At 41.9% G+C, this 16,017-nt stretch overlaps 2 annotated features.

The window, feature by feature from the left end:
- Positions 4,484-5,030: an enhancer, noted in NCBI's record as "OCT4-NANOG-H3K27ac-H3K4me1 hESC enhancer chr10:3005950-3006496 (GRCh37/hg19 assembly coordinates)". NCBI's record gives its function as "activates a minimal SCP1, AML or CMV promoter by ChIP-STARR-seq in naive and primed H9 embryonic stem cells {active_cell/tissue: H9 hESC(naive and primed)}" and the evidence as "EXISTENCE:reporter gene assay evidence [ECO:0000049][PMID:30033119]".
- Positions 5,031-5,577: an enhancer, noted in NCBI's record as "OCT4-NANOG-H3K4me1 hESC enhancer chr10:3006497-3007043 (GRCh37/hg19 assembly coordinates)". NCBI's record gives its function as "activates a minimal SCP1, AML or CMV promoter by ChIP-STARR-seq in naive and primed H9 embryonic stem cells {active_cell/tissue: H9 hESC(naive and primed)}" and the evidence as "EXISTENCE:reporter gene assay evidence [ECO:0000049][PMID:30033119]".

Below are 16,017 nucleotides of genomic sequence, written 5' to 3' on the forward strand. Positions count from 1 at the left end.
TTCAAGACCAGCCTGGCCAACATGGAGAAACCCTGTCTCTACTAAAAATACAAAATTAGCTGGGCATGGTGGCGCATGCCTGCAACCCCAGCTACTCGAGAGGCTGAGGTAGGAGAATCGCTAGAACCTGAGAGGCGGAGGTTGCAGTGAGCCGAGATCACGCCATTACACTCCAGCCTGGGCAACAAGAGCAAAACTCCATCTCAAAAAAAAAAAATATGGAAAATAATTTAAAAGTGGATGTGTTAAAACTCACAGCATTATTTTAAGTATTGTATTTATACCAAGAACAAAATGTATTATAATTTTAGTTTCCCAGCCCCAAAACTCCTTTTACAGGATACTACTGTGACTTATATTGTTAAAAATTCCCAAGACCTCTTCCAAACTGAGATAAAATTTTACTAAGCAAAACTCACAATGACTTTTAGAAGATATCCATAGTGTATATGTACCACATTTTCTTTATCCAGTCTATCATTGATGGGCATTTGGGTTTGTTCCAAGTCTTTGCTATAGTAAATAGTGCTGCAGTAAACACACATGTGCATATGTCTTTATAGTACACCATGGAATACTATGCAGCCATAAAAAAGAATGAATTAATGTCCTTTGCAAAAACATGGATGAGGCTAGAAGCCATCATTCTCAGCAAACTAACACAGGAACAGAAAACCAAATGCCATATGTTCTCACTCATAAGTGGGAATTGAACAATGAGAACACATGGACACAGGGAGGGGAACATCACACACTGGGACCTGTCAGGGGATGGGGGGCAAACGGAGGGAGAGCATTAGGACAAATACGTAATGCATGCGGAGCTTAAAACCTAGATGACAGGTTATAGGTGCAGCAAACCACCATACCACATGTATACCTATGTAACAAACCTGCAAGTTCTGCACACGTATCCCAGAACTTAAAGAAAAATAAATAATAATAATAAAAACATACTCACCACCCCGACACCTAATAGAATTTTAAAAAGATATCAACATGATGCTGATTTTATATTACAAACTCTTGACATAACAGGCTTCTCAAAATCACCTATTTAAGAGGAAATCTGTCCAGAACTTAAATCATCAGAATGTTTTAGGGTTGAGTCAGTGGCTGCTTTTTGAAAATCAAATGTATTCATGCAGAATAACTTTCTTTAGTAAAAATTCAAAATCTGAAGACAGTTTTTTAATTTTGCGTTTCTCCACCTCAAATGTTAAATTAAGGCATCTATAATCTAAATTTCTATTTGATTTCCCTTTTTCCAGAAGAATTGACACTCTTGTGTGGTGATTCATACATTTCTAATTTTTTACCTTTCCTTTTCATTCATTTTCAAATTCAGGAAGAATATTCCTACCTTTTGCTAACATTTTAAATCTATCTCACATACTCTTTCTCTTATTTGATTTCATTTACAACACTCAGTTGAAAATGACGGAAAGATGGAAAGAACTTTTAAAAAGATTACTGATGGCTTTGCATTGTTTAAAGCCAATAGGTAAAATTATAATAAATTCTGATTTAAGTATAGGTAAAATATTTCCATTTAAAGTAAGATTATGAGCTTTAGTACTCCTACTTTTTAATTTTCAACATTTGTTTATCTGCTTGAGCCACAGATAACTGAGAGATGAATGAGCCACAGAAAGCTGAGAGATGAGGCACACAGGGGCACACATTCTCCCTGCTGCTGCCTCAGGTGCAGGACAGCTCTGCACAATACCATCACCGTCCTCGGGGACATGAACGTCCAAGTCCCAGATGACAACTGGACTTTTCAGTGCACAAACCAATGCCCCTGTTCTCTCTGAAGCCCCCACCAAGGAGCTGAGCTGTCAGGATCTGCTCCTGCTGTTCACGCCTCTCTTCTCTCTCCCTCTCTCCCTCTCTCTCTGAGCCTCTCTTTTACCCCATCATCCTTCAAATCTCAAAGCAGTAATAGGAAATAAGTGAGGAGGAAGTGGAGGCAGAAACCACCTCATTTCCTCTGAGTTCCATCTTAGACTCTTAGAAGAGCAGAGATTGGAGGGCCAGCCTCTCGACCTCATGTCTCATGAGCCACTTCCTGCTCTGTGGACCTGGTGAGTGGCTTAGCCTGTATTCCCGGGTTCCCACATCAATCCCTGCCTCCCAGGGTCACTAGAGAGGTTTAGTAAACACAGATGCATGCACACTTAAAACAGTCTTCAATCTCATCCAGGTAGCTGCAAATGCCATTAATTCATTCATTTGTATGGCTATATAGTGTTCCATCATGTAAATATACCAGTTTCTTAATCCACTGGTTGATTGGTGGGCACTTGGGTTGATTTGACATTTTTGCAGTTGTGAATTGTGCTGCTAAAAGCACGCATGTGCAGGTAAACTTTTTGTATAATGACTTCTTTTCCTCTGGGTAGATACCCAGTAGTGGGATTACTGGATCAAATTGTCATTCTGCTTTTAGTTCTTTAAGGAATCTCCACACTGTCTTCCATAGTGGTTGTACTAGTTTACATTCCCACCAGCAGTGTAGAAGTGGGAACCCACTGTTTTTGTAGCAAGCAGTAAGCAAGCCTGCTGCCGTCGTGGGGAGGCAAGAGTGATGACCTCACCCGTCAAGATGACAAGCTGCATAAACGGTGCTGAGAAATGGGCTGGATAGCAGAGAGCTTGGGGCCTCAGTGTCTTGGCACAGACAGCAAGACATGTGGGAGTTCTGGAGGCCTGCAGAGGATGGCCTCCTGCAAGGGTCACTACCTACCATGTCCTACCCTCTGGTTCTAATGTCCCTGTGCACCACAAGTTCCCACATAACACAAGACCCTCTTACCAGTGACTAAAGCTTAACCTAATTCTCCCTACAGTGTTGGAAACTTGGTGCGCTATCCCTCCCAGACAGAATTAAAGGCTTTCAAACCTAAGGAATGAATCTCTAATGGTGTAATTTTACACTCTATGACCCATGAGTAAAAGAGAGTGTTTTCTGGAATATTTCTTGAGTCTAATGCTTTATAAATTAATGAAGGAAAAAGATGCTGACTAATCTGGGACACGTTAGCTAAGGGCTAGGAAGGGCATTAGTTCAAGCTGCTGTGTTTATCTCCATAGGGCTGGTGTAATGAACTGAGGGGCTTAAAATAACAGCAATTTATACTCCACAGTCCTAGAGGCCAGAGTCTGAGGTCAAGGCATCCTCAGGGTCAGTTCCTTCTGGAAGCTCTGGGGAGAATCCTGGCCTTGGCTTGCATACCCATCACCCCAAACTCTGTCTCTATCCCAATGTGGCCTTCTCCCCTCTGTTTCTCTCTGTCTTCTCCTTTTCTGTCTCTTTTAAGGAAGCCTAACATTAGATTTAGGGCCCACCCTAATCCAGGATGATCTCGTCTTGAGATCCTTATGCCTTAGTTGCATCTGCACAGGCCCTTCTCCCAAATGAGGGCACCTTCTGAGTTTCCAGATAGACATATCTTTTGGGGACAGAGTTCCTCCCACATGTCTGGCAGCCTGAGTGATGCACATCCATCCTTGATGGAACCCAATGGAAGCAGCCTCGATCTTCCATCTCCACCAGTGAACCAAGAAGTCTTCCATGTCCACCACCCCTCACCAGAGGGAGGCAGGGCCTCAGCCGTGGGCAGGGCTCCCCTGATGGCTGGGGTTAGGATGAGAATCCAGCATGGGGAAGACCCTCTGATTCCAAATCAACAGTCCAGGGACCATCCCGGTTCCCTCCGTCCACTTTCTCATGGGAAAGGCGGTTGTCCTCAGGCCTCTGGATGGGCAGGCTCCTCACTCCTGAGACACAATGTAGTGTATGAAGTGAGCAAATGCCCACTTTTAGGCATTACTATAGGGTCACTATGTGAAAATTTTGTAAGGTGATTACCTGAGCAGGCATTCAGTTCTTTTCAGGGCATAAAGTTATCTCTTTGTGTCCATGGCTTACAGACAGGCACGAGTAGTAGTTCTCTCAAAACTTTTGCAAGGTAACTGCCCACCCTCCATCTCCTGGGCCTGCTGCTGAGAGCACACATCACCACACACCTGGCCACACACCTGGCCGCACACCTGGCCACACACCTGGTGGGGTGGGGACAGGACAGCAGCCACAGCTGCTGTCATCACTTAGTGGGTTTGGGGCTTCTTCCTCCTAGGCTCTGATTCTTGACCATGACTTACAGCAAGTCAAATGTTCACACACGTCACAAGATACTATGCCTTTCTCATCCAAAATTAGACAGCAGTGAGGCCACCGCTGAGAGATTAAGGGCTTCCGTCAGCAGCCAGCAAAGGCCTGGATGCATGCAGCCCTCCCATGTCCCCACCTCAGAGGCTGAGTGACCCCTCTCAGTTCCTTTGCAGCAGCATAGCTTTGTCAACTCCAATTCTCTCTCTGGATAATAATGGCCTGGTTCTAAATCTCAGGCCTCCACTGCGGAAGGGCATATTCCACTTAGTCAGTGGTTATGCCCGTGGTGACATTGGCATAGGGTGATAAGCATAGGCAAAGGAGAGATGGTGGCCTTGCACGAGAGAATAGCTAAGCAGCAAGCCACAGAGCAGGAAAGTGAGGCATGGGAGGCGTTGGGAACACCTGTGTTGGAACCAGTTTTCAGTTAGAGACAAAATCCTGAATACAGAGTGTTAACATGAACAGCCTCCTGCCCAAGTGGGAAGTGTAGACCAAAATTAAAATTCTAAGCCTCCCAACTGACTGAATGAACTCCCATCTCAGGGACTCCAAAGTAAACCTGAAAAACTCATTCAGGCCCTGATGGGAAGAGGCAGTGGGACAGGCCTTGTTATACCTCTTCCTTTTGGAGTTCAGGTACAATGAACAGTACTGACATTAACATAGAGATCCTAAGACTGACAGAACAGACTCTTTATAGCAATAAGATACCAACATGACAGGTAGCCAGCCCTGAAGAAATAAAAGTATTTTATCCTAAAATATAGTTATTTGACATATTTTGAAATGACCCTACAAGGTCATCTCTTGTGGAGGAAATTTACATCCTGCAGAGAACCCCCTTCCCTTTCCAGGTATTTTCCTGATCCAAAAGAGGTTAACCAAGAATCTGGTGCCTTTTAAGTTCTGATGAGAGATATTCAAATCTATTGTCTCTGAAGCCTGCTACCTGGAGTCTTCATCTGCATGACAAGAACCTTGGCTCCCACACCTCTCTTCTTACCTTAACTCAAGCTGCCTTCAACTCTTAAGGCAGAGCTTAACACTTTCAACCAACTGCCAATCAGGAAATCAGAATCCACCTATGACCAGGAAGCCCCCTCCTGCTTCAAGACGTCCTGCCTTTCAGGGGCCGAATCAACGTGTACCTTCTATGTATTGATGTATGCCTTTGCCTGTAACTTCCTTCTCCCAAAAATGTATAATCTGTAACCCAACCACCTTGGACACATGTTCTCAGGACCTCCCGAGGCTGTGTAACTGGCCATGGTCCTGAAACTTGCCAAAATAAATCTCTAAATTGATTGAGATCTGTCTCAGATACTTTTTGGTTTATAGAAGTAAACAGAAATGTTCACTCTGGGCAAAATCAGTATGCTACCTTAAAAGGTGGCATTGCTTCCATCTGGGAATTTAGCACAATGCATGTGTAATTAAAGATAATCCACCAAGTGTAGAATTTAAACTGGTTCAACAACTCCACAAATTCTTAAGGACAAATTGCCTGGGAAGTGGCTGAGATGTGATTCCATCTTGATGTCCAAATGCAGTCTGCACTTGGTTTGATCCATCCTGGTAAAAGAAAAACTTCAGCCAAATTAAATTTAAAGGAGTTTAATTGAGCAATGAACAATTCATGAATCGGGCAGCCCCCAGAATCACAGCAGGTTCAGAGAGACTCCTGGGATGCCTCATGGTCGTAACAAATTTGTAGACAAAAAAGGTAAAGTGACGTACAGGAATCGGCAGTGAGGTACAGAACAGCTGAATTTTGGTTACAGGTTGGTGCTTGCCTTATTTGAACACTCAGCAGTCTCTGCTCACACAGTTATGGAGGCTGATAAATCCAAAACCTGCAGGGCAGCCAGCAGGCTGGAGACCCAGGGAAGAACTGGGGCTGCAGAGGACGTCTGAGGGCTGCCTGCTGACAGATTCCTTCTCTGAGGGGAGGCCAGTCTTCTGCTCTATTCAGGCCTTCAGCTGATTGGATGAGCCCACCCACATTAGAGAGGACAATCTACATTCTTTGAAGTTCACCAATTTAAATGTTAACTTCATCCCAAAACACCTTATAGAAACATCCAGAACAGTACCTGATCAAACATCTGAACACCCTGGTCCAGCCAAATTGACACATAAAATTCACCATCACAGGAGACATTCGTCAAGTCAATGGCAGGGATAAAAAGGCAGAAGTGAGGGGACATACAGAAAACTGAGGGTCATCTAGAACTCTTCCCTATGCATGGACCTTATTTAGATCCTAACTCAAAGAAATCAACTGCAAAAAGATGTTGCTGAGACAACTGGGGAAATTTTATTGTAGATTGGACATTAGATAATACCAAAAAGCATACCCTTAATTGTGTTACATTTGGTAATGCCATAGTAAGAGAATATCCATACTGTTTAGAGATGCATGGTGAAGTGTGCAGGGATGAAATGAAATTTAATGAGGATTGCATTAAAATAATCTCATAAGAAAAGGAAAAAAAGAGGCTGGGCACAGTAGCTTGCACCTGTAATCCTAGCACTTTGGGAGGCCAAGGCAGGAAGATCACTTGAGGTCAAGAGTTCAAGACCAGACTGGCCAACATGGTGAAACCCCATCTCTACTAAAAATACAAAAGTTAGCTGGGTATGGTGGCACATGCATGTATTCCCAGCTACTCGGGAGGCTGAGGCAGGAGAATCACTTGAACTGGGGTGGCCGAGCTTGCAGTGAGCTGAGATCATGCCACTGCACTCCAGGCTGGGTGACAGAGTAAGACAAGACAAGACAGACAAAGAAAGAGAGAGAGAGAAAAAAAAAAAGAAAAGAGAAGAGGAGAGGAGAGGAGAGGAGGGGAGAGAAGAGAAAAGAGAAAAGAAAAGGAAAGGAAAGAGAAGAGAAGAGAAAAGAAAAGAAAGGGAAGGGAAGGAAAGGAAAGGAAAAGAAAGAGGAGCAACGTAGCAAAATCTTGGTATTTGCCGAAATTCGATGATGAGAATATGAGAATGTGTTATACTCTTCTTTCTGCCTCAGATTATTCATAACAGTGTCATTTGGGCATTGTGCAGACAGTGCATATATTGTGGCTATAAAATACTATGCTGAGAATAAATATATTTGCAAAACAATCATTATTCTTAAGATATCTTCATGGATCCTCCCAATGTTCTTTATTTCTTCTCAAATTCATGACTGCAAATAGCAAAGCTGCCTTCTATCCTTCACCACATCAAAGCAATAGGATTTGGAATTTTGTTAATACAGTTTACCCAAGTTCTAGGGAGAAAATTTGCAAACTCCCACTGTGAGAGTATTTCTAAATATTAGTAAAACATTAGGTGGCAGCGGACTGCATGCCAAGGGTTTTGAAAGTGTGTTCATGGTAGGCTTGTGCACAACGGGCTAATTTGGTTGAAAGATGTTCCAGGGCTATTTTTATCTTAATTTATATTTTATTCAGAACCCACAGAAGGATGGCAATAGCATGTAAATCCCAGAAAGCTTCATACTTTCCCTGAATGCACCATTATTTTGGCAATCTTAAAAGGAAAGCAACACTTCCACGATTTCACAGGGAGCTCTGAACATAGCAAATGTTTACTGGAGGGACATGCATGTCCTTTTTTTTAATGTTTCTAAACAGCATATGTGCAAATGAGATTTGAAATGAGGGGTGTATGTATTTTCCACAAATCCCTAATTTATTTATGTACGTTTTAAATATTTTCTAATGGCTTTAAAAGAATTAGAAATGGATTTTCTTTATTTAAAATTGAGTCTTTTTTCAGTAATAAATTTTTACTTGAGAACTCAGTAAGATTTCTCCTTTTAAATAATTGAAACTGCTGAAACAGGTTGTTTATTTTACCTTATTGAAATGAGGATTGCCCACGTTTTCTGTAAATAATAATTAAAGGAATAAAAACTCCATAATGGAGGCCAGGCATGGTGGCTCACACCTGTAATCGCAGTACTTCGGGAGGCCAAGGAGGGCAGATCACTTGACCTCAGGAGTTCGAGACCAGCCTAGGCAACATGGTGAAACCCTGTCTCTACAAAAAAATACAAAAATTAGCCGGGCATGGAGACACACAGCTGTAGTTCCAGCTGCTCGGGAGACTGAGGTGGGAGGATTGCTTGAGCCTGGGAGGTCAGAGCTGCAGTGAGCCATGATTGCACCTCTGCACTCAAGCCTGGGTGACAGAGAAAGCTTCTGCCTCAAAAATGAAAACTAAACTCCTTAGTGGGGAAAAAAGCGTGTGTGTGTGTGTGTGTGTGTGTGTGTGTGTGTGTGTCCCTGTGTTCTCCAGAAAGCCGAATTCCACAAGTTAAGTGGTTCCTAGATGTCATTTCTATGGCCAAACATCTGGGCTCTGTTGACACCATCATGCTAAGCCAATTAACGTAGGAACAGAATACCAAATATCACATATTTTCACTTACAAGTAGGAGCTAAACGTTGGATAAATACGGACACAAAGAGGGGAGCAAAGAACCGTGAGGACTACTAGAGGGACGAGAGTGGCAGGGGCTGAAAAACTACCAATTGGCTGCTATGCTCACTACCTGTGTGATGGGATCGTTCGTACTTCACACCTAAGTGTCATGCAATATATCTATGTAACAACCCTGCAGATTACCCCCTGAATCCAGCATAAAAATTGAAAAAAAAAAATCAGATGTCTACGAGAGGAGGTTGGTCACCCCAACAGATTTAGTGTTGTGAGCATCATTAAACTAAACAGCAAGATGGAAAGTAACGTGGCTGTTGAAACAAATCCGTGGTAGTACTGATGGCTTTTCCAAACACATGAGTGTCACGCAATGAGCTATCTCTTCAAAAGTACCGCAACACCACACACAGGTCATTCGAACCGGCATGCAATGCTAAGATTATCCATGAATGATTGGGCAAGCTAAATGAATTGCATCTCATTGTTATCTAACCAGCAACGAAGGTTTCCTCTAACCAACCTGGGTGAATCATATAAGGAATTGTTAACTATTATGGCAGTACGCAGTAGAAATGAAAGCCATCAGAACACACACTGGTTGGGGGTCATTGCAGACACAGCCGAGAGCTCGCTGTTCTCCCACAGAGCTCTAGTTTTTCTGGAGTAAGAGTCGGTCCATACGGAACATGTGTGTGTCAGAGCCGTGGGCAGAAATGGAATGCAGAAGTGGGATGCGGGTGATGAATCATGATGGTGCCTCGGCTCCTGTTCCATAAATTTCTAGTAAATAAAAATAAAATTTAAAGTCTTACTCACACTTTTATGGACTCTTAAGAGCTTTCTTTTTTATGGTTTGCTTTGGGCAGTATGAGAGAGAGAGAGAGAGAGAGAGCAGAGAGAGTGAAATGTGTGAAAGACAAAGATGAATAGCTCTTGGGAAGATCAAGGCCTTCTTATTAGCTTGCATTTGGCAGGCATCCGCTCATCACTCATCTAAAACACCTTATAATAGTCTGATTGAATGGGAGGGTGATTTTTATGATGTGAGTTAAATGGAAATTAGGGTGATTTTTGAAACTCTAACATATGGCCCTACTGATTACTTTTCCCAACAAATTTTTCATGTGGTCATAATCTAAATTTAAATAAGAGTCTACAGGGGAAAATGCTAGGGTATTCAAACCCTACGCCCTCACGCCTCCTAAGAGGACAATAAAAATCAAGTTTCCTAAAGTCAAAGGAAAATTTGAGGCAAGTGGAAAATTAATGAACGTGAAAAAAACACCTCCAGAAAAAGTTCCCTGCAAGTGTCTTTCTTCCCAATGGTTTTAAACCAGAATTGAAAAAGAGAGCAGAGATTTTTGATAAGGCTGGAGCCAGGTATGCTGTGTGATTTCCTTAAAGAAGGTTTGCGAGGCAATGAGTACAAATAGCGACATAAAAAGGGCTTTAATTGAGGGCGCAGTACCTTCCAGAACATTCCTACTGATAAAATGCACATGGAAAAACTTCACTTAATAACCTTTGTGATCTTTGTTAGTTTAGACACATCTTTCTTTAATTATAAATGAAACACAGGCTCACTGTAGAAAATTTTGAAAATGCACAAAAGTATAAAACAGAAGATAATAATCATTCTAAATCTCCAGGCCCAGAGATAATAGCTGTAAATCGCTATTACCATTTTGGTATTTCCTATACTTTTTAAAATAAAAAATATATATATTCATATTCTAACAGATTGGAGATTGTGCTGCTTATAAATTTAATAATCTCCTTTTGACTAAATTTTATATGCTACACATCCTCCAGTGCCATTAAAGATTCTTTGTAAAAATCTTTCTTGAATCTTAAAAATATATGAGTATCTCCAGTGCTTTCCATCTATAGTGGTGCCATGGTTTAATGATTGCATTTCTAATTCATCTTCTCCTCCATGAAAATACTTAGGTCAAATTCTACACATTTGCTGTATTAATGAAATATCAGAACACATATTGATTAAAAATGTATATACCATTTCTTCATATCAGAGGCAATTAAGAAGTTGTTGATTAGATGCCAAAATATTGGAACTTATGATAATTTACAGTGGCTCTTGAGGAAAACAGGGCCAGATACCAGAAATTAAATCTTCACTAAATATTTGGGAATATCTGATTACTTTCCCATAGCACATTTGCAGGGATTTTAGTAAGTCACCTATGACACTTATCTTTGCATCTGCAAAAAGAAATAGGCCTTCTGTGGGAAAAGCAAGAAACATCACAACGTGTGGAGTGTGGGGTGATCAAAGCTGCCCTGCAGTGCGAACAAGGCTCCCAAGGGGGCCGATGGTGTGGGAGGCACCAGGCACGGGGTTGCCCCTCCACCACCCCATGTGTCCTGCGGTTGCTCCTTACCTGTAAAAGAGTCTCCTGCGGTCGTTCAGGGCTGCCATGAAGCTGAGATGATGCTCCCCATGGCTCTGTGCAGTGCTGGGCACAGAAGAGGTGCTTAGTCAGTTACTGCTGCAGCTGCTGTGGCTATTCATAGTGTACTCCAAGATAGACCACACCACCATGTCCTGCATCAACAGAGTTATTAATAATATGGTTGTTATTAATAATATAGTTATTAATAATATGGTTGTTATTAATAATATAGTTATTATAAGAATATAGTTATTAAAGGTGGTTGTTAACATAGTTATAATAATTATTTATTAATCATTAATTGTTAATTAATCATAAATTAATAATTAATGATTAATATTATATAGCTATTAATAATATGCTATGTTACATATCGGTATGAGCAATATTTTTAATATTAAAAAGTGATAACATATGATATCAAATTGTTAATGGTATTATACAGGAAATAAAATGACACATGGTAAAGGCTTGATTATACCTGTTTATTTCCTTATATACCTATACATGTGTTTGCATGTATGTGCATATGTATATATGTGTGTGTGGTATATGTGTATGTATAGAAGATTGTGCTTGTGTGTGTGTGTGTGTGTGTGTATAAAAATAGATCCCTTAGAAGAAAACTAGTTTTGAAAGAGCATGGGAATATTTTTTTTGAGATGGAGTCTCACTCATCCAAACTCGAGAGCGGTGGCACAATTACAGCTTACTGCAGCCTCAACTTCATTGATCCTCCTACCTCAGCCTCTCGAGTAGCTGGGACCACAGGCATATACCGCCATGCCCTGCTAATTTTTTTTTTTAAGAGATGAGTTCTCCCTATATTGCCCAGGCTGATCTCAAACCCCTGGGCTCAAGTGATCTTCCCGGCTCAAGTGATCTTCCCACCTCAGCCTCCTCCCAAAGTGCTGGGATTACAGGCATGAGCTGCCATGCCCGGCCCAGGATTATTTTTTTAACTCAAGAAATGATGACTTGGAAATTGTAATTGTGGGTTTTATTTTAATATTGATTGTAAGTTGATATGAAGTCAATGTCAGGACAACAAATGCAGGAAATATCTCACAGAGAGATTATTTCAATCCTAAATGGTCGGAGAATCAAAGATTCCAAGTGATGTTTTAAAGAAAAGTACAGATGAGGAGGGAGGAGAATACTTGGAAGGGAATCAGAAGAAATTAATTTCATTAGTAGAAAGCAAGCAATCTCGGAATGGGATATGAGGCCACCCTCAGGAATGACCTGGGCACCTGCACAGCACAAACTGGGCCTGGAATCCCAGTCTCCCCTGACAGTTTCCGCTATCATTGCATTTATTCTGAACTGCTCCTTCTTCCCCTTGAAAGGAAGGTCATAATATCTTCCCCCAAGTACTCTCACGAAGCCATATTCAGTAAGAAGCTATATTCAATAAGAAGCCATATTCAATAAGATACAAAGTCACCGTGATGCCCAATACCATGCTGTGATTCAACATTTTAGCTATTATTCGAGATCGATTTTACACATTGGAGGAATTTAAGGGAGTAAATAAAGTCAAAGTGAGACATTTAAACAGTGCTTTTATTAGAAAAAGATCTGGAAATGAGGAGATGGCTAAGACTTTGATACTGTGGCAACTGGAACTTGGAACCCCACACCTCGCCAGGATCCCGCTGGTCCTTGGGACAGAAGCAATCTCAGTCCATTACCTTCAAGTGAATTTTTAAAACTCCTGCAAAAGAAAAATAAAACACCACTTTCACGAGTGCCTCAGAATAAATCTAAATGCTTTGCTAATTGCTTGTCACCACTACAAATAGTATTTGCTTTTCAGGGAGCTTTTTATAACGGCCTGGAAATAAATCAGAACTTTTAATTCCTTTGAAGACAGGCTGAGAAAGAAAAAAAAAGGTGGAGGTAAAACTTCTAGGATAACAGAATCATCTTGAGCATCATCTGAAGGGTGTTCTTGTGTAATATAAGGAAGGCCTAATCAGATCAGCTAGAAACAGTTGCCTGTACGATAAATGCTCACTGCTTACGTATTGTTTTTCTTCAAACCTAAAGTCTCGATGAGGAAAGCAGCTCCCTGGACAGCCAATTCCTGCAAGATTACAAGGTCAGGCCCTTCCACCTCCCCGACAGGGCTGGGAGGCCGCGGAGATGAGTTCACACAGCTGGCTGCTTTAGTGACTCGAAATGCCATCTGAGGCTTGGCAACATTTGTTTTTGTTTCTGGAGAGTAGAATTTAATGTAATATCAAATCACCCCACTCAAGGTACTGTACTCTTGGAAATTGCTTCTTAAATTCCACTGACCAACTAACAGAAACTGCCTGCCACAACAGAAAAAGTTTTATCAGAATATATCTGCTATGCAGTGCACCACAAGTGTCTTCAAAGCATCACTGTGTTCAACTAAAATGTTTAAACATTCCAATGCACAGCTTTAATTCATTTGCTGATAGTAATTAACAGAACAAAGTCACCGAGACCAAATTACCTTCAGGTTTCAATAAAAACAATGTCCAATTGAAAGGTAAAATTTAGGATTAAAAAAAAAAACCCATAGCAAATTATCGAGAGATGAATCAGCCCAGCACAGAGGGTTTGCAGGGAGGTGAAACTACCCTGTGTGTGCTGCAGTGGCAGAGGTGAGAAATCTGTCCAATTCACAGAATGCCCAGCACCGAGAGTCAGCCCTGGTGTGAACTGTGGACTCTGGGTGGTAATGATTTGTCCATGTAGGTTCATCGATTGCGACACGTGGGCCCTCTGGAGGGTGTGTGCAAGTGGGGAGCAGTACGATAATTCTCTACTTTCTGATCAATTCTGCCGTGAAGCTAAGACTGGCCTAAAAAATAATGTCTATTTAAAAATCTATAGCAAATTGTTCATCGATGCCATTAAATTTCACTCTAAATTGAACGGGAGGGCTGATTTTCCAGTGTGGCTGTGACTTGTCTGAGGCTGGCTGCCTGAAACTCCACAATCTCTAAAGCCAAGACAGAGAGCTTAAGAAGATAAGCAGCCTGAGGCAGGGGCAAGGGGGAGGTTCTGGGTCACCCCCAAGATCTGCACACCCAACCAGGCCAGAGCAGCCATCAGGGTTCTGGCCTCTCCTTCCCTGAAAGGTGTCCCCAGGGCCACATGGACGCCCATCCCTCCCCGGACGCTCCCCACCCCTGCCCGGGAAAGCCACCCAGAATTAAATCCTGGGGTGGAAGGAGGAGCCCCCTGGACTAACGAGCCACAGTGCCAGTAGCAAAGCACCAGGAAATCTGCAAGCCAGCAAACACACTGCTGTCTCTGTGCTGGCCTGGGAAATTTGAATGTGCTTTGAAAATTTGTTGAAGAATCATACCCTGGTAGGACCCAGGGAGAGAAATATCTGGGCTTACTGATCTGTCGGCATGATTCAGCCACTTCCCTTCCTTTCATTCTTTGATTAACAAAGCTGAAGTTTCCCTGACAAAGTGTTATGGAAGGATGGCCAGGGTTAAGATCGCAATTGCTTGTAAAGCAATGTAAATAATAAAAGAGAAATGATATTGCACACTGCTGTGCCATTTTCAAATTGATATTTTCCAACATAACTGCATCGAATCCTCATGACCATGTGAGCCCTTAAGTACTATTATTACCCCTGTTTTATATTTGAGGGTTGAGGCTCAGAAAAACCAAGTAAAGTGGTCAAGGTCAATGTAGGAGGCCTCAGATTCCAATTCCAGTGTCCTCCGGTTACAGCACCCGGTGACCTGGGGCCATTTTCTTTTAATCTACAGATAGGCAGCAGGCCTTGGAAATCCAGCTCTTTGAAAATAGTAATTACTTTGTTTTTTTTAGGTCCAAAATGTGCCCAGCAATTGAAGCATTCTTAAGTGGGCAGGATCACTCAGTTATTTTGGTCATCTTCATAGTCAGTTTGGATACAATCAGGACAGAATGACCAGCACGCTATAGACCCCCAAGATTAATTGACCACATCACAGCCAATGTCATATGAGCCCAGGCTGAGAATGTATTTGGAGGTTGTGCAGACACCCGAGACAGAAGTAATTATTTTATTATTTATTATGAAGATATTGGAGTTATGTTAAAAAAAAAAGTAGGAATAAAGAGGAAGCAGTGAATTCGTTTAAACAAAATTGAGGATTCACTGCCTGCATAGAAATAAAAGCCTTCCAAGCAAAATGATTTATAAATAAAAGACGAGTAACTACCATGTATTATAAATGATGCCTTTCCTGCCCTGTGTATTGTAAAATGCTTTCTAGAATCTTACAAAAGCCAGCATGGCAAGAATGTAATGAAGAAGAGAATTGCAAGATTAGAATCACATGGAAATGGGGGTCCTTGGGTAGCCACAGAAGGCGGCTGAACTCCTGGGCTCACGGCAGTGGGTGATCTCTAATAAACTGAGAGAGCAGAGCAACGAAGCTCATTAAAATACAAGAAGAAGAAAAAACTCAGGATAATATCATCCATCTCCACTGATTTCATCACCCTGAGAATGAGGGGTAAAGCTTGCTAACATGAGAATGAATTTTTATAAAGCACAGACATTTTCTGACATTTTAAGGGAAGAATATGGTGTGGCATTCCCCAGCCTGCAATGCAATGTGTTTATTTAAGGAGTAAATGCAGAAATGTTTTAGGGAGATGGGCCTCAATGAGCTCATGTGGGAGCAGAGAGCCCTGACTACGAGGAGGCCTCCGTGATCCCTCAGCAGAGCACACGCTCCTGCACTGACCAGAACCACGCCACGAAATCGGACCCCAGGAACCCTCGCAGATAGAATCCAGCACCTTCCTTCATCCAAGTTTGATGAGTTTGCTGATAATTCATATTCACACTCGGCTTTTCCAAGAAAGTAAGGAAGAAGGAAAAAAAGGGCTTTACTTGCCACTTTTCCGAAAAGACAAATTATTCAGAGGTCATCAAACCTACAGGAAGAGCAAATGAGAAGGGATGGGTAGGGCCTGCTGGGT

This window comes from Homo sapiens, chromosome 10 (assembly GCF_000001405.40).
Source record: "Homo sapiens chromosome 10, GRCh38.p14 Primary Assembly".
NCBI lineage: Eukaryota > Metazoa > Chordata > Mammalia > Primates > Hominidae > Homo > Homo sapiens.